Consider the following 23086-nt stretch of genomic DNA (forward strand, 5'->3'; position numbering starts at 1 on the left):
GAGGAGGTCAGAAGGATGTGATGTGAGAAAGACTCAGTCTATTGTTGCTGGGTTTGAAGATGGAAGAAAGGGGCCAGGAGCCGAGGAATGTAGGTGGCCTCTAGAAGTGAGAAAAAGCGAAGGAACAGCTTATTTCCTGGAGGTCCCAGAAAGGAATACAGCCCTGCTGATACCTTGATTTTAGCCAACTAAGACAAGTATTAGGCTTCTAACTGCCAGGAAATGCTCCGGGCTTAGCTCACACACCCTTTTCTTTCATAAAGTTCACACCATTCCAACCAGCTGGAAATGACCAACCCTCTTTGGGACTTACCACATTGTAGCTAACTCATGGCCCTTATCACTTTCCTTTTGGTCACTTGTGTTCTTTGCTTGATTGTGTAAAGTGGAATTTAAAAAAAAAAAAAGAGCAGTGCATTTACCAATGAATACATAAAAAGTTAAATTGTTACCTTAAGAATTTTTTAAATAAACTCAATTTTAGAGAGTTTTAGGATCACAGTAAAATTGAGGAGAAATTACAGAGATTTCCCACATACCACCTGCCCCACACATGCATAGCCTATCCTACCATCAATGTCTCCCAACAAAGGGTGATACAGTTGTTACAAATGATGAAACAACATTAACACATCTTTATCTCCCAGAGTCCACAGTTTACATTAGGTTTCACTCTTGACATTGTACTTTTATGGGTTTGGACAAATGCATAATGACATATATCCACCATTACAGTATTATACAAAGTAGTTTCTCTACCCTAAAAATCCTCTGCTCTGCCTATTCATTCCTTCCTCCTCTAAAACCCCTGGAGACCACTGTGCTTTTTACTGTTTTCATAGTTTTGCGTTTTCCAGAATCATACAGTATGTAGCATTTTTAGACTAGCTTATTTAACTTAATCACATGCATTTAAATTTCCTCCAGGTGTTTCAATTGCTTGATAGCTCATTTCTTTTTATTGCTGAATAATATTCCATTGTCTAGATGTATAACAGATTATTTATATATTCACCTACTGAGGGCATCTTGATGGCTTCCAAGTTTCATGTTTCTTTGATGATATATATGAAGATGTTTGATTCTGTTATATTAACCCTGGATCCTGTGTCCTGAAACCTTGCAATAATTGCTTATTAGTTCCAAGTGTGTTTTTGTCTGTTATTTTAAACTTTCTACTTAGACAATTATGTCATATTGCAAACAAAGACAATTTCTTTCTTTTCAATCTATATACATTTCATTTTCTTTTCTTTTTAAAAATTACATTAATTACGACTCCCAGTACCATGTTGAAAAACAGTGGTGAGAGGGGACGTTTTTGACTTGTTCCTGACCTTAGTGGGAAGACTTTGAGTTTCTCACTATTAAGTATGAAGTTAGATGTAGGGTTTTGGCAGATATTTTTGATCAAGTTGAGGAGGTTCTCCCCTATTCCAAGTTTAATGGGAGTTTTTATTATAAATGAGTGTTTGATTTTGCAAATTCACTTTTCTAGATCTATTGATGTGATCATGTCATTTTATTATTCTTCTTTAGCCTGTTAATGTAATGAACTGTAAGAATTCATTTTGAATGTTGAACCAGTCTTGGAAACCTGAGGGAAATCCCACTTAGTCATGATGTATACTATATTTATACATTGTTGGATTCAATCTGATATTTTTTGAGAATTTTTGCGTCTATGTTCATGAGAGAAGTTGCTCTGTAGTATTCTTTTTTTTTTTTTTTTTTTTTTTGGAGACATAGTTTTGCTCTTGTTACCCAGGCTGGAGGGCAATGGTGCGATCATGGCTCACCGCAACCTCCGCTTCCCAGGTTCAAGCGATTCTCCTGCCTCAGCCTCCCGAGTAGCTGGGATTACAGGCATGCACCACCATACCCGGCTAATTTTGTACTTTTAGTAGAGACAAGGTTTCTCCACGTTGGTCAGGCTGGTCTCGAACTCCTGACCTCAGGTGATCCGCCCACCTCGGCCTCTCAAAGTGCTGGCATTGCAGGTGTGAGTCACCATGCCCAGCCCTCTGTAGTATTCTTTTCTTGTAATGTCTTTGTCTGATTTTGTTATTAGGATAATGCTAGCCTCACAGAATGAAATAGGAAGTACTTCTGCTGCTGCTATCATCTGAAGAAGATTGTAATGATTTGGTATAATTTCTTACTTAAGTGTTTGATAGAATTCACCAATGAACCTATCTTAATTTGATGCTTTCTTTTTTATTATTATTATTATACTTTAAGTTCTAGGGTACATGTGCACAATGTGCTGGTTTGTTACATAGGTATACATGTGCCATGTTGGTGTACTGCACCCATTAACTACTCATTTACATTAGGTATATCTCTCAGTGCTATCCCTCCCCCCTCCCCCCACCCCACGACAGGCCCCAGTGTGTGATGTTCCCCTTCCTGTGTCCAAGTGTTCTCACTGTTCAATTCCCACCTATGAGTGAAAACATGTGGCATTTGGTTTTTTTGTCCTTGTGATAGTTTGCTGAGAATGATGGTTTCCAGCTTCATCCATGTCCCTACAAAGGACATGAACTCATCCTTTTTTATGGCTGCATAGTATTCCATGGTTTATATGTGCTACATTTTCTTAATCCAGTCTATCACTGATGGACATTTGGGTTGGTTCCAAGTCTTTGCTATTGTGAATAGTGCAGCAATAAACAAACTTGGCTTTTTGGCTAATATCAAGTATAGTATCTGTTCTTTTCAGTTTAGTTTGATGCTTTCTGTTTTAGAAGGTTATTAAATATGGATTCATTTTTAGAGAGTTCTATCCTCCTTCAATGCCTGGGGTTCCATGAGGAAATCAGAGCTTTTTCCCAAAAATGGTACCTCCTATTTTTCCCAAGGACTCCTCGTCTGTTAGAAATGAACTTAGTTCCTTTCATGTGGTCATCAAGAGGGGCAAAAAGACAGACTGAGGAAATAATTCACTCAAGTGAGAAAAATAAATAAATAAAAACTTCTCAAAAAAACAAGATCCAAGAAGAGAAAAAGCACAAAGGTCTTGTATATAGATATATACACACACAGACACACACACATATATATACATATATGTATATATGTGTGTATATATGTATATGCTATATATACATGTATATATGTGTATGTATATATACACACAAACGTATATGTGTGTCTGTAAAGAGAGAGGGAGAGCGAGAGAGAGTATGGGAGAGCACTTGGATATCCATTTTTAATTAAGCTGACTTTTAGCTATAGTGCCCTTTAAAAAAAATCCTTTATATCTCTTATTATCTGACTTTAGCAAGGCCAAACAGCCAGTATTTCTGGCTTTTGAACTTCTTTAGAAATAGTAATCTCCTAGGTGAAATAAATAAGCCTTAACTGAGGTTGTAACTTAACCATGAGTGTATGAGGTATTTTCAAATAGGTGGTAAGCAGTTTTTACAAGATCTAGAATCTTCAAAGGTAACTCACAGAAACGAAAATTCAAGAAGGGAAGCCAGAAGTTGGTCATGGAGGAGCAGAGAATCAACAAATGGAAAAAGCCACAAGAATATCAAATCAGAAAGCATTCATTCCCTGGGCCAAGAATTGAGTCCCAGGCCACCATTGTGAAAAGACAAACTCTTAGCTTCTGAGCTATAGCATTGGATAGTCTTCATTACCTTTCCCAGAAGGATTCCAGTGCAACCGATTTCAAGCTTGCAAAGGCTTTTAACTGCTCGAGATAATTTTTAGAGCTAACTATGACATTAACTACAAAATTCCTGTCCTCTAGATGGCAGAGACCAAGAGTAAGTACTGCCACATAGTTACAAGATCAAGCTCCCACGGACATAAAACAAGATGAGAGGGAAACCTCATCCAGTATAGGTTTCAGGAACACACAGCAAAGTTTGTAACCGACCAGCCCAAGAGGCTGGCTTAAAAAGTAGGCTTATAGGAATCCTAAGCCTACTTTCTACATTCTTTCCTATGACACCCCTCTCCATTACAGAACAACACTAAAAGACAAATTCTTAGCACAAAGTACACCAGATTTGCTAAAGCCTAAGACTAGTCTCAAAAATTCATTTTTCTATTAATCAGACCACACACACACAGAGAGAGAGAGAGAGAGACAGAAAGACAGAGAGACAGAGAGACAGAGAAAGACAGAGACAGAGACAGAGAGACAGAGACCAGAAGCTTGGCTGGTAACAAATTCTTACCCCTTTTGCCAGCATACCACGTTTCTGGGTTCCCTTTCTCTGCAGCTTCCAGAAGAATGAAGTGGCTTTTGATGACCCTGCTCATTGCACCATAGCTTTGGGGGCCAAGCCACTTTACAAAAGAAAATTATCCTTTTCTGTTTTATAAAACTATAGGCAAAAGCTTCTCATTTTTGCAAGATGCTGCCCAATGGGCTGCATGAGGAACCAAATTAACATTTTCCACCCCAGCCTAGCAAAATACACATAACAAAACAGACATTTGTCACCTCATTCAGCACCCAATATTGACCTGGCGAGGCTCAAACTTTCTTTCATTGGTCCCTATCATCTCTGATCCACTCAAGATGTGGAGGGCTAAACTCCAACTGAGAATTCAGGTCTCTGGGCAAGATGAAGAAGTGGACAGTCACCCCGACTCAGGCCTTTTTGAGCTTCCTTCAGGACTCACTGAATGTGACCAGACAAATAATGAGGGTTTTCTGAGTTAGGTGTCCTAGACTTCCATCAGTAGTTCCTTTAGAGGTCTCCTCCACATATACAAATACACACAACAAAGACAAGACAGACAGAAGGCCTTCCAAACCACGACTTCTAACCAAGAATTCCGAGTCTTCCTCCCAAACGAACCTTCTATTCTCCACCTGAGAATTCTCCCTAAAATCTTCTTGATTGAAGAGAAATCTCCTGAACCAAGACTTCCTACTAATTAGAGCTAACCAACACCTCCAAAGGAGCTGAACTGAGACCTCAAAAAAAAAACAAACAAACAAAAAAAAAAAAACAAGAGCCCCAAAGGAGCCAAACCAAGGCCCCTAAAGAAGCCAAATCATGATCCCCAAAGGAGCCAAACCAACTGGGAGAAGAAAGGAGGAGTTGGCAGTGCCTAGAATACTCACCAAATTAGTTTGGAGACAGACATCATTTCCAGGAACTATTTCTCCATTGCAATTAAATCCATGCACATTGGGTCAGCAGCACCCTGCCAGTAGAGACAGTGCCAGAGTCAGCCCACAGTCCAAGAGAACTAGGCAGCCACTTGGGCTGGCCTCTGGATCCATCACCAGAGCAGGGCTACTGAACCATGGGCAGGTAGGCACAAAGGCAATCCCAGATGAGACCCCTAGTGTGTAACCACCTAACGGGTTCACCTTGCCCACTGCCTAGACAGAGCTTATTTATCAAGAAAGATCTTACTTATCAAAACAGAGAAATTGCAATAAAGAGTAATTCATGCAGAGCCAGCTGTGCAGTACACCAGAGTTTTGTTATTATTCAAATCAGTCTCTCTGAGAATTTGAGGACTGGAGTTTTTAAAGATAATTTGGTGGGTAGGGGGGCCAGTGAGTCAAGAGTTCTGATTGGTCAGGTGAGAGATGAAATCATAGGGAGTTGATACTGTCCTCTCGTGCTGAGTCACTTCCTGGGAGGGGGCCACAGGATGAGATAGGCCAGTTTATCAATCTGGGTGGTGTGAGCTCATCTGTGAAGTTCAGGATCTGCAAAATATATCAAGTATTGATCTTAGGTTTTACAATAGTGCTGTTATCCTCAGGAGCAATTTGGTTAGAGTCAGAATCTTGTAGCCTCCAGATGCATTACTCCTAAATCATAATTTCTAATCTTTTGGCTAATTCGTTAGTCCTACAAAGGTAGTCTGTTTCCCAGGCAAGAAGCTGGTTTGTTTTGGGAAAGGACTGTTACTGTCTTGGTTTTAAACTCGAAGCTATAAACTAAATTTCTCCCAGAATTAGTTCGGCTTACACCCAGAAATCAACAAGAACAGCTTGGAGGATAGAAGCAAGATGGAGTTGGTTAGGTCAGCTCTCTTTCAGTCTCGGTTATAGTTTTGCAGTGAAAATTTCATAAGCATTTAGTGCAATAAACTTTCCACTTTATGCTGTTGAAGCTATATCCTAGAGGTTTTAAAATACTTTGTCTCGATTTTCATTTGTTTAAAACAAAAAAATTGTGTTCTGCTCTAATTTTGTTATTTACCCAAAAGTAATTCAGGACCAAGTTATACAGATTTCTTGTAATTGTGTAGTTTCAAGAGTTGCTCTTGATACTGATTTCTATTTTTATTCTGCTGTGGTTCATGAAGATGTTTGTTATAACTCTGATTTTTTAAAAAATTTATTGTGACTTATGACTTAGAATGTGGTTAGTTTTAGAGAATGTTTTATGAACAGATAAAAAATGCATTTTCTCTGATTTTTGGGTGAAGTATTCTCTAGATATCTATTAGATCCACTTGGTAAAGAGTCTACTTCAAGTCGAATTTTTTTTTTTTTTTTTTAGCTTTTGGCCTTGATGATGTGCCTGCCTAGTGCTGTCAGTCTGGTGTCGAAGCTTATTACTCATTGTATTACTTTCTATCTCTTTGCTTAGGTCTGGTAGTATTTATTTTATAAATATGATTGCTTCAGTATTGAGTGTGTATATATTTAGATTAGTTAAATCTTGTTGAATTAAATGCTTTATCATTATGTAATGCACTTACTTGGTTTTTTTTAAACTGTTGTTTGTTTAAGGTCTGTTTTATTTGATACAAAGAGAGGAATTTCAGCTTATTTTTGCTTTCCATTTGAAAGATAGATCTTTCTTCATTCTTTTACTTTAAGTCTATGGGTGTCCTTACATACGAGATGGATTCCTTAAGGGCAGCAGAAGGTTGCCTTTTTTTTTTTAATCCACTTTGCTACTCTATGTCTTTTATATGAAGCATTTAGGCAATTTACATTCAAAGTTAATATTGATATGTGAGATTTTGTACCTCTCATACTGTTGTTAGCTAGTTGCTTTATAGTTGCAATTGTGTAGTTACTTAATAGGATCTGTAGGCTTTGTAATTATGGGTGCTTTTATAGTAGCAAGTATTGGTCTGTTTTTTCCTGTTTTGAACTCCTTTGAGCATTTTTTCTAAAACTGATCTGGTGGTGACATATTTCCTTAGTGTTTACTGGTCTGGGAAATATTTTATTTCTACTTTATTCACAAATCTTCATTTGGGAAGTTATGAAGTTCTTGGCTGTCATTATTATTTTTCTTTTGTAAGTCTAACAATAGGCCCCCAGTCTCTTCTAGCTTGTAATGTATCTGCTGGGAAGTTCACCTTTAGTCTAATGGTATTTCCTTCATAAATAATTTGGCCCTTTTCTCTAGCTGCCGTTAGGATTTGTTTTTTCATGTTGAACTTAGGCAATCTGATGACTATATTCATATAGTATCTGAATGGTTGTTTTGTATAGTATCTCATACTATAGTATGTTTTGTATAGTATCTCATACACTGTTGCACCCACAACAGTGTACAGTGGAGAGAGTGGGAAATTACCCTCTATCCAGATTCATTCCTGAGTGTTGGTACTGCCTCCTTCAGTAATTGGTGCTGTGCCCATGTTCTCTTTGTCCCAGGGGAAGCTATAGTGGGCTACAGTCCCCACTCTTTTAGGGGAAGAACACATTGAGGGTTAGATCTCCAGAGGTCCTGCTGTCTCCCCAAAGTCCACTGACCCCTGTGCCTACCAAAGTCAGAGCAGTTTGTTGGACATGTTTGCCAGGAATTGGGTGGCATGGTGACTCAAAGATGGAGAATCCTCAGGCAGGGCGGTGGCATACCATAGATGCACCAACAGTATGGCACATCTTTCCTTTAGATAGAAAGGTGGTGCAGCTGTACCTGTGCAGGCTGGCCACCTAGTTGTCTATCCCTGGGGAGTTCCCAAATTGCCACCAATAGCATTACCCTGCATCAAGAGGGCAGAGGAAATTCCTAACAATTTGGTGGTCAGCAGATTATCAGAGATGTGAGGGGAGCAGAGAAGCACTTTCAGCTAAATTTTCACAGGGTTCTCTGGGGGTTGATTATTACCAGGCTTTTACCGCTTTTCTTTACTACACCACAGCTGCTTCTTATGGGCACTATAACAGTTCCTGGCTCTCTTTCTCAGTTTTTTATTTGGTACTTCTTTATTCACCAGTAACTTTGATCTTCTTTCTGAGGAGAACTGTAATTTGATGTCCCTGGTCAGCCATCTTGAAAAGAACTTGACTTATTTTTTTATCAGTGGCAGCATGATATATCTTCCTCCATCTAATTACTTTTAATCTATACATCTATAAGTAGATCTCTTAGAGACTACATATAGTTTGTTTCTTCTTTTTAATCCTTTAACAAACTCAGTCTTTTAATTGGTGGATTTAGATCATTGACATTAAAAGTGACTACTGATGTTGTGAGACCAATGTTGATTATAATTTTACTATTGTCTATTTGTTATACTTGTTCTTTGATCCTATTTTTGTCTTCTATTCTTTTTTCTTCTGTTGTGTTCTTAACTAAATAGTCTATATGACTCTGATTTTATATGACTATATAATCATAACTTTTTATGTTACCTTTCTTTATGTATATCAAGTTTCTGACCTATATGAGTCTCTCTAAAAAGCTTCTCTTAACATTTCTTACAAGGAAGATGTACTGGAAAAACATTTCTTCAATTGTTGTTTGTCTGAGAATGTGTTTATTTCTACTTTACTTTTAAAAGAATTTCACAGAGTACAGAATTTTAAGTTGGTGATTTTTTTCTCTTAAGACTTTAAATATTTCACTCCACTCTCTTCTTGCTTGCATGGTTTCTGAAGAGAAGTCTATTTTCTCCCCTATAGATAAAATTTGTTTTTCCTTCTGGTTAGTTTCAGGATAAAGTTTTCTTTATCTTTGACTTTCTGTAATTTGAAAATAACACACCTACACGTAGTTTTTCTGGTCAATAATAACTTATTTGTATATTTAAAAATAACTTAGGAAGTGTAGTTGAATTGTTTGTAACTCAAAGGACAAATCCTTAGCATTTTCTGAGTTTCCTGAATCTGTGATATAGTGTCTGACATTAATTTAAGAGAAATTCTTAGTAATTTTTTTTTTTTTGAGATGGAGTCTCACTCTGTTGCCCAGGCTGGAGTGCAATGGCATGATCTTGGCTCACTGCAACCCCCGCCTCCCGAGTTCAAGTGATTCTCCTGCCTCAGCCTCCTGAGTAGCTGGGATAACAGGCACCCGCCACCACGCCCAGCTAGTTTTTGTATTTTTGGTATAGACGGGGTTTCACCATGTTGGTCAGGCTGGTCTCTAACTCCTGACCTCGTGATCTGCCTGCCTCAGTCTCCCAAAGTGCTGGGATTACAGGCATGATCCACTGCACCTGGCCAGTAATTATTTTTTAAAAATGTTTCTTTTGCTCCTTTTCTCTTTGTTTTCCTTCTAACCTTTCCATTACACCCACTTATATAATTGTCTCAAAATTTTTATATGATTTCAATTGATTTACTTTTTAGTCTTGTTTCTCTTTGCTTTTCAGTTTTGGAGGTTTTCATTGATATATCCTCAAATTAGAGAGTCTTCATCAGTTGTGTTCTATCTACTAATAAGCCCATCAAAGGCATTCTTTATTTCTGCTACAGAATTTTTTATTTTTAGCATTTTCTTGGGTTCTTAAAATTTTTATTTTTATACTTACATTGTCCATCTGTTATTGAATGCTGTCTACCTTATTGATTAGAACACTTAACATATTAATCATAGTTGTTTTAAATTCCATTTTGAAAATTTCCACGTCCCGGACATATCTAGGTCTGGTTTAAAGCTTACTTATTCCTTTCAATCTATGTTTTTTTTTTCACTTTTGGTATGACTGGCAATTTTTTTCATTACAGTTAAGCATAATGCATTAGGTAAAAGGAACTGCTTTGATAAGCCTTTATTAATATGGTGTAAGGTGCTGGAGAAGGGGTAGCATTCTACAGGCCTACATTTAGGTTTTATTATTTTAGTTATAATCCAGTAACCTCTGGATTATAAATTTCAAACATACTTCTCAGTTTCTCCTCCCAGCTGTAGGTGGGGCAGGATGGCTTAACAGGGCTTGAGTTGTATATTTTTCTCGTTTTATGAAGAAGGCCAGAGGCAACTAGAGTATAGTTTCTATGGCTTCATAACCCTATTACAATAATAAAATATCTATCGTTATGCCCCAATAAAAAGAATTATTAGAATTATTGTCTTAATATTTTATTTATAATTTTTTTTCTTTAGGATCTGGATACTGGAGAAAATGTTTTAAGTTATTACACACAATTTAAACTGATTTATTGTTTTATTTTCTCTATTTCTACAGAAGGGTCTACTTGGGCTTGTCTTCAATGTTAAGAGTCTCATCACTTGTTTTATATATTATATTAATTTATGCCATGAAGAAAAAATATCAAGAGAAAGATATCAATGCATCAGAAAATGGAAGTGTCATGGATGAAGCAAACTTAGAATCCTTAAATAAAAATAAACATTTTGTCCCTTCTGCTGGGGCAGATAGTGAAACACATTGTTAAGGGGAGAAAAAAAGCCACTTCTGCTTCTGTGTTTCCAAACAGCATTGCATTGATTCAGTAAGATGTTATTTTTGAGGAGTTCCTGGTCCTTTCACTAAGAATTTCCACATCTTTTATGGTGGAAGTATAAATAAGCCTATGAACTTATAATAAAACAAACTGTAGGTAGAAAAAATGAGAGTACTCATTGTTACATTATAGCTACATATTTGTGGTTAAGGTTAGACTATATGATCCATACAAATTAAAGTGAGAGACATGGTTACTGTGTAATAAAAGAAAAAATACTTGTTCAGGTAATTCTAATTCTTAATAAAACAAATGAGTATCATACAGGTAGAGGTTAAAAAGGAGGAGCTAGATTCATATCCTAAGTAAAGAGAAATGCCTAGTGTCTATTTTATTAAACAAACAAACACAGAGTTTGAACTATAATACTAAGGCCTGAAGTCTAGCTTGGATATATGCTACAATAATATCTGTTACTCACATAAAATTATATATTTCACAGACTTTATCAATGTATAATTAACAATTATCTTGTTTAAGTAAATTTAGAATACATTTAAGTATTGTGGAAGAAATAAAGACATTCCAATATTTGCAAGCTGTGATTGTCAAACAACATATTACATTATGTGTTAAGTTTCCAGTGGGCCCACGGTAATGTATTAGGAAAAATTGACTTTGACTAATGTAGCCACTCTCATACTTATCTTAGCTAGATTTCCTAGATCATTTGCCGCACCTTCTACGTCAGCACTTGCTTCTTCACTTTGTACTTAGATAATGAAACCAGCTTCTTTTTTTAAACCCCGTGAAACAAATTCTACAGCTTTTTTTCTTTTGCAGCTTTCCCACGTCTCTTAGTCATCATAGAATGACAGAGAGTTATGTCCTTGCTCTAGATTAGATTTGGCCTAAGGGAACATTGTGGCTGCTTTGTTCTTCAATCCAGGCTACTGAAGTTTTCTCCATGTTAGCCATAAGTCTGTTTCACTTTGTTATTATTTGTGTGTTCACTGAAGTAGGACTCTTAATTATCTTCAAGTACTTTATTTTTGCATTCACAACTTGGCTAACTGCTGAATGCAAGATGCTTAGTTTTGACTTACCTTGGCTCTTGATATGCCTTCCTCACTAAACTTAATCATTTCTAAAATTTGACTTAAAATGAGAGATATGTGACTCTTTCTTTCACTCAAACACCTAGAGGTCATTGTAAGGTTATTATTTGGCTTAATTTCTATGTTGTTCTGTCTCAGGACATAGGAAGGCCCAAGGGGATGGAGAGAGATGTAGCAATAGCTGGTTGGTGGAGCATTCAGAACACACACAACTTTATTGATTAAGTTCCACGTATTATATGGGTATGGATAGTGGCAAGTCAAATCAATTACAATAGTAACATCAAAGATCACTAACCACAGGTCACTATCACAGATACAATAACAATGAATAAGTCTGAAATATTGTGAGAATTAGTAAAATGTGACACAGAGACATAAAGTGAGCACATATTTTTGAAAAAATGATGTCAATAGACTTGTTTGATGCAGGATTGCCACAAACTTCCAATTTGAAAACAAAAAACAAACAAAAAAAACACCAAAATATGTGAAGTGCAATAAAGTGAAGTTCAATAAAATGAAGTATGCCAGGAATAAAAACTAGCAGGATCACAGGATCAACCTCTACTTAAAAGTATTAGAAATATGGAGGTAAATAGAAGAAATAGCTAAAAAGAGTTGTAAATGCTTGCCTCTGGAAAGCAGTAATAATAAGCAGAGAAAAACTCATTTTCAATATGAGATTTTTGATATAATCTTATTTTTACAACTTTGTGCATAAATGGCTTTGGTAAAAATTAAAAATCAATCATCAGACTGGTATGTCTCTTATTAATCAACAATAAACAATAATATTGATACCCAGGTACTACACTGAGAGCCTTGGGTGAGCCTCCAAGTCTTGCTGGCTTCAGATACCAGAAAGATCACAGGGGTTAATGCACTAAGCAGACTCTTGAGGTCCCTGATTCCAGGACTTGACTCTGGGATAGCATTTCTGAACCTGCCCTCGGCCAGAGGGGAGCCCATTGTTCTGAAGTTTGAATCCCACCTCAGGCAGAATTCAATAGAAGCTGATTAAAGTGCCCTTGGGCCTTAAGGAAACATTGGCAGTAGTCTAGCAGTACTCCCTGTGGGCCTGAAGTGTTGTGGCTATGGGTTGAGGCTCCTTTGTATTTGGAAATGCGAGGGAAGAGTGGGAAAGACGGTCTTGTGGTTTGCGTGCCACCTCAGCCACAATATGATAGAACACCAGGTAGACTTTACGAGTTTTGGCTCTAGTCTCTGACTCCTGGATGGCATCTCTGGACCCACATGGGACCTGGGGGACCTCGCCACCCTGAAAGGAAGGACACAGGCCTTGCTGGCTTTTCTGCCTGCTGATTGTAGAGCCCCATGGCCTTGAGCAAACATTGGCAGTAGTCAGGGAGTAATTACAGCAGACCTTGGGCAAGACTCATAAATGTGCTGGCTTCAGGTGTAACCCAATGTAGTCATAGTTCTGGATGCCACAGAGGTGCTTACGCCACTCCAAACCTAGATTTAGTTGGCTCAGAATAGAGAGAGAGACTGTATGTTTGGGAGAAATTAAGCAAGAGAACAAGAATCTCTGCCTGGAAATCCATAGAATTCTCCTGGATGTTGTTCAAGACCATCAAGACGGTACCTCTACGAGTCTGCAAAAACCTCAGCATTACTGGGCTTGGGATGCTCCCTAAAGCAGACACAGCTTATTTCACAATAATCAAGTTATTTCAAATGCCTGGAAACCCTTCCCAAGAAGGATGGCTGCAAATAAGCCCAAACAGCCAAGGCTACAATAAGTGTTTTGCTCTTCAATGCCCAGACAGACAAATATCTACTAGCATCAACACCATCCTGGAAAACATGACCTCACCAAATGAACTAAATAAGGCACCAGGAACCATTCCTGGAGAAACAGAGATATGTGACCTTTCAGAGAGAGAATTCAAAATAGCTATTTTGAGGAAACTCATAGAAATTCAAGATAACACAAAGAAGGAATTCAGAATTTTATCAGATAAATTTAACAAGGACATTGAAATAATTGAAAAGAATGAAGCAGAAATTCTGTAGCTGAGAAATACAATTGGTATACTGAAGAATGAATAAGAATCCTTTAATAGCAGAATTTATCAAGCAAAACAAAGAATTAATGAACTTGAAGACAGGTTTTTTGAAAATACACAGTCAGAGGAGATGAAAAAAAGAATATAAAACAATAAAACAAGCCTACAGAAAGTGGAAAATAGACCCAAAAGAGCATATCTGTTATGGGCCCTAAAGAGGAGGTAGAGAAAGAGATGGGGTAGAAAGTGTATTCAAAGGGATAATACCAGAGAACTTCTCAAACTTAGAGAGAGATATATCCAAGTACAAGAAGGTTATAGAACACCAAGCAGATTTAATCCAAAGAAGACTACCTCAAAGCATTTAATAATCAAACTCTCAAAGGTCAAAATTTAAAAAATGATCCAAAAAGCAGCAAGATAATAGAAACAATTAAGATAGAGTGGTGCTCCAAAATTCTGGCAACAGAATTTTTACTGGAAACCTTACAGGCACGAATGGCATGACATATTTAAAGTGCTGAAGTAAAAAAACAAAACAAAACAAAACAAACAAACAAACAAAAACGCTTTTACCCTAGAATAGTACATCCAAGAAAAATATCCTTCAAACATGAAGAAGAAATGGAGACTCAGTGAGACAAACAAAAGCTAAGGAATTTCATCAATACCAGACCCATCCTACAAGACATGCTAAAGGAAGTGCTTCAAATGGAAAGAAAAGAACATTATTGAACAATAAATAATCACCTAAAGGTACAAGACTCACTGGTAATAGTAAGCATGCAGCATAACACAATGTCATAACCCCTTAACTGTGGTATGTGAACTATTATTCTAAGTAGAAACACTAAATGATGAACCAATCAAAAATAATAACTTCAACAACTTTTCAAGACATGGTACAGTAAGCTATAAATGGAAACAACAAAAAGTGAAAAAGCATGGAGATAAAGTTAAGGCATAGATTATTTATTACTTTGATTTTTGCTTGTTTGTTCATGTAAGTAGTGTTAAATTATTAGGTTAAAAATAATGAGCTATAAGATAGTATTTGCAAGCCTCATGGTAACCTCAAACCAAAAAGCATACAATAGATACACAAAAAATAAAAAGCAAAAAATAAGTTACATCACCAGAGAAAATCACCTTCACTTGAGAAGACCGGAAGAAAGAAAGAAGGATGAAAAGACCACAGAACAACCAGAAAACAAATAACAAAATGGTGGGAGTATGTCTCTACTAATCAATAATAGCACTAAATGTAAATGGATTAAATTGTCTTTTTTATTCAGTTATCTCACTGCTATAAAAAAGAACCAAAGATGGGGTAATTTATAAAGAAAAGAGGTTTAATTGGTTCATGGTTTCACGGGCTGTATAGGATGATCTATTGTCTTTAAGAAACACACTTCACTTATAAAGACACACATAGACTAAAAATAAAGGGATGGGAAAACATATTCCATGCAAAGGGAAACTAAAAAAGAGCAGGAGTCACTATAATTATATCAGACAAAATAGATTGTAAGACAAACACTGTAAGAAGACAAAAACAAGGTCATTGCATAATGACAAAGCGGCCAACTCAGCAAGAAGATATAAGAATTTTGAAAACATACGCACCCAACACTGGAGCACTCCAATATATAAAGGAACTATTATTAGAGCTAAAGAGAGATATAGGCCCTAATACAATAATAGTTCGAGACTTCAACACCTCACTTTCATTATGGACAAATCTTCCAGACAAAAAATCAACATCAGACTTAATCTCTACTATAGTCCAAATGAATCTAATAGATATTCACAGAAAATTTCATCCCAGAGCTGCAGGATACATTATTTTTCTCAACACATGAATTATTCTCAAGGGTAGACCATATGTTAAGTCATAAAACAAATCTTAAAACATTGAAAGAACATGAAATAATGTCAAGCATCTTCTCTGGACAAAATAAAATAACTAGAAATCAATAACAATGGAAATTTTGGAAACAATACAAATTACATGGAAATTAAACAATATGCTCCTGTATGACCAGTGGGCTTTGAAGGAATTAAAAATAATCTTGAAAAAACTCTTAAACAAATGGTAATGGAAACACAGCATACCAAAATCTATGGGATAGAGGAAAAGCAGTACTAACAGGGAAGTTTATAGTTATAAGTGCCTACGCCACAGGAGAAAAAACTTCAAAGAAACTATCTAACAATGCATCTTAAACAACTAGAAAAACAAGAGTAAACTACACCCAAAATTAGAAGAAAAAAGATAATAAAGGTCAGAGCAGAAATTAATAAAATTGAAATTATAAAAAACTATACAAAAGATAAAAAGTTAATTTTTTGAAAAGTTAAAATTGACAGATGTTCAGACAGACTAAGAGTAAAAAAGAATATCTAAATAAATATAATCAGAAATGAAAAAATATATTAAAACTGATACTGCAGGAATTCCAAGGATCATTATTTGCTACTATGAGCAACTATATGCCAATAAATTGGAAAATTTAGAAGAAATGGACAAATTCCTAGATACATACAAACTACCAAGACTGAACCAAGAAGAAATCCAAAAACTGAACAGGGCAAAAACAAGTAACAAGATCAAAGCCATAACAAAAAGGCTCCCAGTAAAGAAAAGTGCAGGATCCAATGGTTTAACGGCTGAATTCTACCAAATGTTTAAAGAAGAATTAATAGCAATCGTATTCAAATTATTTCATGTAATAGAAGAGAAGAAAATACTTCCAAGCTCACTCTACAAAGCTAGTATTACTGATGTCAAAAATGAGACAAAGACATATCAAAAACAAAAACTGCAGGCCAATATCTCTGATAAATATCAATGCAAAAATTCTCAATTAAATACTAGAACACCAAATTCAACAATAGATTTGAAATAGCCATTTATTATGACCAAGTAGAATGTATCCCTGGGATGTAAGGATGTTTAAACATACACAAATCAATCAATGTATTACATCATATCAACAGAATAAAGGATAAAAAGCATATGATTATTTCACTTGATAATTAAAAAGCATTTGGTAATATTAAACATTTCTTTTATGATTAAAAGCTCTGAAAAAAAGCTTGTTATAGAAGGAACATACTTCAACATAATAAAAGGCATATACAACAGACCCACAGCTAGTATCATACTGAATGGGGAAAACCTGAAAGTCTCTTTTCCTGAGATCTGGAACACAACAAGAACACCCACTTTCCCTTACTGTTGTTCAACATAATAATGGAAGTCCTAGCTAGAGCAATTAAACAAAAGAAAGATATAAAGAACATCCAAATTGGAAAGAAAAAAAGTCAAATTTTACTTGTTTGCAGATAACAAAATCCTATATTTTAAAAAACTTAAAGACTCCACAAGAAAATTGTTAAAAGTGATAAACAAATTCAGTAAAGTTATAGGATAACAAATCAACATATAAAAAATCACTAACATTTCCATATGTCAACAGTAAACAATGTGAAAAAAATTTAAAAAGTAATACCACTTAAAATAGCCACACATATATATAAATAAAATACTAGGAATAACTTAACCATAACAGTAAAAGATCTGTGTACCGAAAAATATAAAATACTGATGAAAGAAATTGAAGTGGATACCAAATAAAGATATTCCATGTTAATGGATTAAAAGAATCAATATTGTTAAATATTTATGCTGCTCAAAGCAATATACACATCCAATGCAATCTCTGTCAAAATCTCAACAATGTTCTTCACAGACATAGAAAAAACAACCCTATAATTTATCTGAAACCACAAAAGACTCAGAAGAGCCAAAGCCATCCTGAGCAAAAAGAACAAACTGGAGAAATCACATTACTTGACTTCAAATTATATTATAGAATGTAGCAGGCAAAACAGCAGGGCACTGGCATAACAATAGGCACATACACAAATGGAATATAAAACAGAATTCAAAAACAAATCTGCACACCTACAGTGAATTGATTTTGACAAAGATGCCAAGAACATACACTGCGGAAAAGACAGTCTCTTCAGGAATTAGGAAAACTAGATATCTATATGCAGAAGAATGAAACTAGATCCCTATTTCTCACAATATCAACTAACTAAAATCAAATCAAAATGAATTAAAGACTTAAATCTATGACATCAAACTATGAAACTTTTTATTTCATGACATGTCATGCAACTTTTTGTAGTTTCATAGTTTGAGGTTCGTAATTTCATAGTTTTGTAGATTCGTAGATTTAAAGTTTCCAGAACATTTGTCTGGGCAAAAATTTCTTGAGAAACACCACACAAGCACAGGTAACCAAAGTAATAGGGGACAAATGAGATCACATCAAGTTAAAAAGCTTCTGCACAGCAAAGGATATAATCAACAAAGCAAAAAGACAATCCACAGAATGGCAGAAAAATATTTGCAAACTACCCACTGACAAAAGATTAATAATCAGAATATATAAAGAGCTCAAACAACTGTAAGAAAAAGTGTAATAATCCAATCCAAAAATGGGCAAAATTTCTGAATAGACATTTCTCAAAAGAAGACATGAAAATGGAAAAGAGACATATGAAAAGGTGTTCAACATCATTGATCATCAGAGAAATGCAAATCAGAATTACAATATTATCTCACCCCAGTTAAAATGGCTTAAATCCAAAAGACAGGCAATAGCAAATGCAGGTGACGATGTGGAGTAAAGGGAACACTTGTACACTATTGGTGAGAAAGTAAATTAGTACCATCACTATGGAGAACAGTTTAGAGGTTCCTCAAAAAATTAAAAATTGAGCTACCATATGATCCAGCAATCTCACTGCTAGGTGTATACCCAAAAGAGTGGAAATCAGTACATCTAAGAGATATCTCCACTTTTATGTTTGTTGTGGCACTGTTTACAATAGCTAAGATTTGAAAGCAAACTAAGTATCCATCAACAGATAATGAATAAAGAAAATGTGGTACATGTACACAATGGATTACTATTTAGCCATAAACAAATGAGATTCAGTAATATGCAACAACATGGATGGAACTGGAGATTATTGTGTTATGTGAAATAGGCCAAGCATAGAAAGAGATATATCACATGTTCTTATTTATTTGTGGTATCTAAAAATCAAAACAGTCGGACACAGACAGTAGACGAATGTTTACCAGAGGCTGGGAAAGGTAGTGGGAGTAGGGGGTGGATGGGGATGGTTAATGAATACAAACAAAAACAGAAAGAATAAATAAGAACTAATATTTTATAGCACAACAGGATGATTATAGTCAATAATAACTTAATTTTACATTTTAAAACAATCGAAAGAGTGTAATTGGATTATTTATAAACCAAAGGACAAACGTTTGAGGGAATAAATAAAACATTCTCCATGATGTGCTTATTTTACATTGCATGCCTGTATCAAAATATTTCATATACCCCATTAATATATATGTCTACTATGTAACCACGAATAAAATAAAATAATTAAAAACAACACAATCTCATTGATTAAAAGTGTCTAAATAATCCTAAGAAGGAAATAATCTCAAATTTTGCCTGGTCCTGAGAATATTTACATGAGACTCAACTCCTTGGAAAGAATGTCCAAAATTCCTATTGAAAAAAATTGACAATAATGACTCTGTGAGTGGAAGTGAGAGAGCCACAAGCACAAAACAGACTGATGGAATAGAACTTGCATCTTCCCATTCCCATTACAGTTGAAATTATTCATTGAAATAACATACTTCAAGTATTAGTGTAATTGCTTTTCTATGAATAAATATCTGACACTACGTAATTTATGAAGAAAAGAGGTTTAATCGGCTCATGGTTCTGCAGACTTTACAGAAAGCATGATAGTGGCGTCTGCTCCTAATGAGGCCTCAGGAAGCTTACAATCATGGTGGAAGGTGACAGAAGAAGCCTGCATGTCACACGGTGAGAGCAGGTGCAAAAGGGAGAGAAGAGGGGAAATCCCATTCTTTTAAGCAACCAGATCTGATGTAAACTAACTGTGTGAGAATTCACTGATTACTAAGTGATGGTGCTAATCTATTTATGACGGATCAAATTCCATGATCTAATCACCTCCAACCAGTCCCTACCTGCAACATTGAAAATCACATTGTTACAGTCTCGCCAATGCACCACAATGTAGCAGTCTCTTGTTGCCTAAGGTAGTACCCAGGAGTTCTTTGTCTCACGACCAGGAAAGTTAAGGAGTGCAGACACCAAGGGTGATGTTGGAGTGCAAGCTTAATAAGCTAAAGCAGAAGGCCCTCCACTGTGGAGAGGGGGCCTGGAAGAGTGTTGCCATTTTTACAGTTGAATGCAAAGGCTTTTATTAAAAAAACAAATGAGGGGTGGGCATCTTATTTGCATAAGGCATAACTTGATGGTAGCTCCACTCCATCCTTTTAGCGTGTATGTGGGCCCTTAGCTTGAGTTGCTCCATCCCAAATCTTGGGATCTTGCTGTTCACAGAGATGTGGGTATCATGTAAGCTTATGACTAACAAAATGTTAATCTTAAATAGTCCTAAAGAGGGCAGTGTTTTAAAACTTTTAAAAATTTACATTTCAATGATCTGGGTCAGCTGTGAAATGACTTAGAGTTTTTGTCCATCTTTTGCAAACAGTAAGACAAGCATTCCCTATCTATACTGCCTATTGATAGGTTTTTATTAGATCTAACTGAAAATCATCTCAAGAAACAGCAGGTCCTGATGGCTTATTGTCATTAGTGAGAACAACAGAGTATCAATTTAAATTACATCTGTTGTATTAAGAATATATCCTTTAGTAATTAAATGAAATAGCACATTTAGCTTCACAGGGTGCTTTAGTGATGAATTCATCCTGTGAGAGTTCTATCAAAATACAGAGCTGCTCAATATCACATGTAAAGCAGGAGTCACATTACAATGATAAACATCTTACATGATAACGATGCATGGGTGTGTGCATGTGAGTGGGCATTTGAGTATTAGCATGAGGAGAATAGTGTGAGTGTACATCCATGTGAATGTAGAAGTGAGTGTGTGATTGTTATTGTATATGTATGTTACTATATCACACACATCCATCATTTCCACTGAATTGTTGAAGATTTTAAGCCAACTTTTAGGAAAATACTATCCCTACCTGCAAGTCCCCCAGTTCTCCTGCATGCTAACCTTTTCCCTGGGTAAAAATAGAAGTTGATAACAAATGTGAGCTTGCCTCTTGTGTGTGTAGTTTGCAGACAGGGTACAACCACCACTGAAAATCAATTACAATGACAAATACATGTCAGGCACTTATCAGAGAACACAACCAGGAATGAACTGCAACCTCTCCCTTCCCAAAATCTCCCTTAGATAAGTTAACTTCCCCTTCCTGATGATTTCCTCTTGACAATCTCCTTATGAAAGAATCTTCTTCCTTAAATAGCAGACATGGCTTCACTGTCCTCAGTGCCCTCTACCGGGCTAACAAATTGTTACTGTCCTTTGCAAAAGCACAGCTAAAAGAGTTTCCTTTTTTTTTTTTTTGGTCTTCTAAAAAATAACTATATGTTTAACTTTTATTATATTAAGGTTAACTTAATTTTTTGCCCCTTTTAGTCTTTTTTTTTTTTTTTTTTTTTTTTGAGACGGAGTCTCGCTCTGTCGCCCAGGCTGGAGTGCAGTGGTGGGATCTCGGCTCACTGCAAGCTCTGCCTCCTGGGTTCACACCATTCTCCTGCCTCAGCCTCCCAAGTAGCTGGGACTACAGGCGCCCACCACCATGCCCGGCTAACTTTTTGTATTTTGTTTAGTAGAAACGGGGTTTCACCGTGTTAGCCAGGATAGTCTCGATCTCCTGACCTCGCGATCTGCCCGTCTCGGCCTCCCAAAGTGCTGGGATTACAGGCGTGAGCCACTGCGCCCAGCCACCCCTTTTAATCTTATAAGTGTTCTTGAATACTTTTGAGAACCTTAATAAATGGTAACTCTCCTACAATCTTTAAAGGGAAACTACGTGTAAATAAAATTGAGGTTTACAGTGCTAGTTCATTGTGTTGAAGATTTTCATAACATATGAGATGAATATTATTATCCTCACTTAGCAAACAAGGAAACTGAGGCTAAGAAAGGTTAAATGACTTACTTCTTCTAGTCACTCAGTTGAGAGGAAGCATCATTTATCTCTTTACGCTGAAGAACATGACTAGAATAGCATCTCCTGGGAGGTGCTTAGTAACTGTTGAATGATGCCAGCTACTTAGCTCTGAAAAAAATACAGTCATCAAACAGTTCAAGGGGAAAAACACCTTTTCATCAGTTACTTCAATATTTCAGTAAAAATGGAATTTTAAATCTTGGTCATCTCCCCTACCCCAAACCATCTCCTCCACTACTGCACTATAATTTCATTTCACTTGGTAGGTGTTATACCAGGGATGGTAGCGACCTTCATTGACCACAGAAAAACAAAATTGTGGAAATAGCTTTCTAAATGCAAGAGTGAGTGAATTTCTAAGCAAGGATATAAATGTGTTCCTGGCCGGGCGCGGTGGCTCATACCTGTAATCCCAGCACTTTCGGAGGCCGAGGTGGGCAGATCACCTGAGGTCAGGAGTTTGAGACCAGCCTGGTTAACATGGTGAAACCCCCTTTCTACTAAAAATACAAAAAAAATGACCGGGTGTGGTGGCTCGTGCCTGTAATCCCAGCTACTCGGGAGGCTGCGGCAGGAGAATTGCTTGAACCCGGAAGGCGGAGGTTGTAGTGAGCCAAGATGGCGCCATTGCACTCCAGCTTGGGCAACAAGAGCGAAATTCAGTCTCAAAATAAATAAATAAATGTGTTCCTTACCTTTAAGATGGCAGTAATACACTAGACACTAGAATACAGAAAACGTTTGTGACTCCTCTGGATATATTGTGTAATTTATGAATCATATTAGTAAGCTTTTACATTAACATTGATAACAGAAATAAGGTGGCAAAAAGAGGTCTGCTGAGATCTACCCTGAGAACAAATATCTGGTCTTTTCATATGAGCTATTGGGACTGAAGAGACCATACAAAATCAGTGTTTTTAATGGACATAAGAAAGTCTGTTCTAAACTTACAGATAAGATTTTCATAAGGAAATGTGAAAATATTCATTCAACTGTCTTGAAATCATAATGCGTTCAATAAAGAAAGAAGTAATAATTGTTATTATTATCATTCTAGTGTTTGCCTTTTAAAACAACTGATAATATAACTTTATGTAATGTGGGCCATTCACTTGAAGGATTGTATTCTATCATGAAGATTAAGGATACTGAGAAATGTTTTGATGCTTAGTTTAATATTTTAATGATGTTTAATGTTTCT

At 36.2% G+C, this 23086-nt stretch overlaps 1 protein-coding gene, 1 long non-coding RNA gene and 1 pseudogene across 2 annotated transcripts in view, besides 2 other annotated features; 2 read left to right on the plus strand and 1 right to left on the minus strand.

Moving 5' to 3' along the window:
* Positions 1-11189, plus strand: part of SLCO1B1 (solute carrier organic anion transporter family member 1B1) — a 108603-nt gene extending 97414 nt beyond the window's left edge. Inside the window, exon 15 of the mRNA NM_006446.5 lies at positions 10372-11189. Within this exon, the coding sequence (NP_006437.3) occupies positions 10372-10582 (211 nt within the window). The 3' untranslated portion in view covers positions 10583-11189. The remainder of the gene's footprint in view (positions 1-10371) is intronic.
* LOC124903123 (uncharacterized) lies at positions 2674-2849 on the plus strand (annotated as a pseudogene).
* Positions 4926-6125: an enhancer, noted in NCBI's record as "CDK7 strongly-dependent group 2 enhancer chr12:21386467-21387666 (GRCh37/hg19 assembly coordinates)". NCBI's record gives its function as "activates an origin of replication core promoter dependent on BRD2, BRD4, P300/CBP, MED14 and CDK7 cofactors, with strong dependence on CDK7, by STARR-seq in HCT116 cells {active_cell/tissue: HCT116}" and the evidence as "EXISTENCE:reporter gene assay evidence [ECO:0000049][PMID:35650434]".
* LOC124902895 (uncharacterized) lies at positions 5442-21956 on the minus strand. Its single transcript, XR_007063239.1, has 2 exons — positions 21871-21956; positions 5442-5692 (listed from the first exon to the last, which is right to left on the minus strand). It is a non-coding gene; the product is annotated as an uncharacterized LOC124902895 (long non-coding RNA).
* Positions 20953-21453: an enhancer, noted in NCBI's record as "H3K4me1 hESC enhancer chr12:21402494-21402994 (GRCh37/hg19 assembly coordinates)". NCBI's record gives its function as "activates a minimal SCP1, AML or CMV promoter by ChIP-STARR-seq in naive H9 embryonic stem cells {active_cell/tissue: H9 hESC(naive)}" and the evidence as "EXISTENCE:reporter gene assay evidence [ECO:0000049][PMID:30033119]".
* Positions 21957-23086: the final 1130 nt, after the last annotated feature.

The sequence above is a fragment of the Homo sapiens genome, chromosome 12 (genome assembly GCF_000001405.40).
Source record: "Homo sapiens chromosome 12, GRCh38.p14 Primary Assembly".
Taxonomy (NCBI): domain Eukaryota; kingdom Metazoa; phylum Chordata; class Mammalia; order Primates; family Hominidae; genus Homo; species Homo sapiens.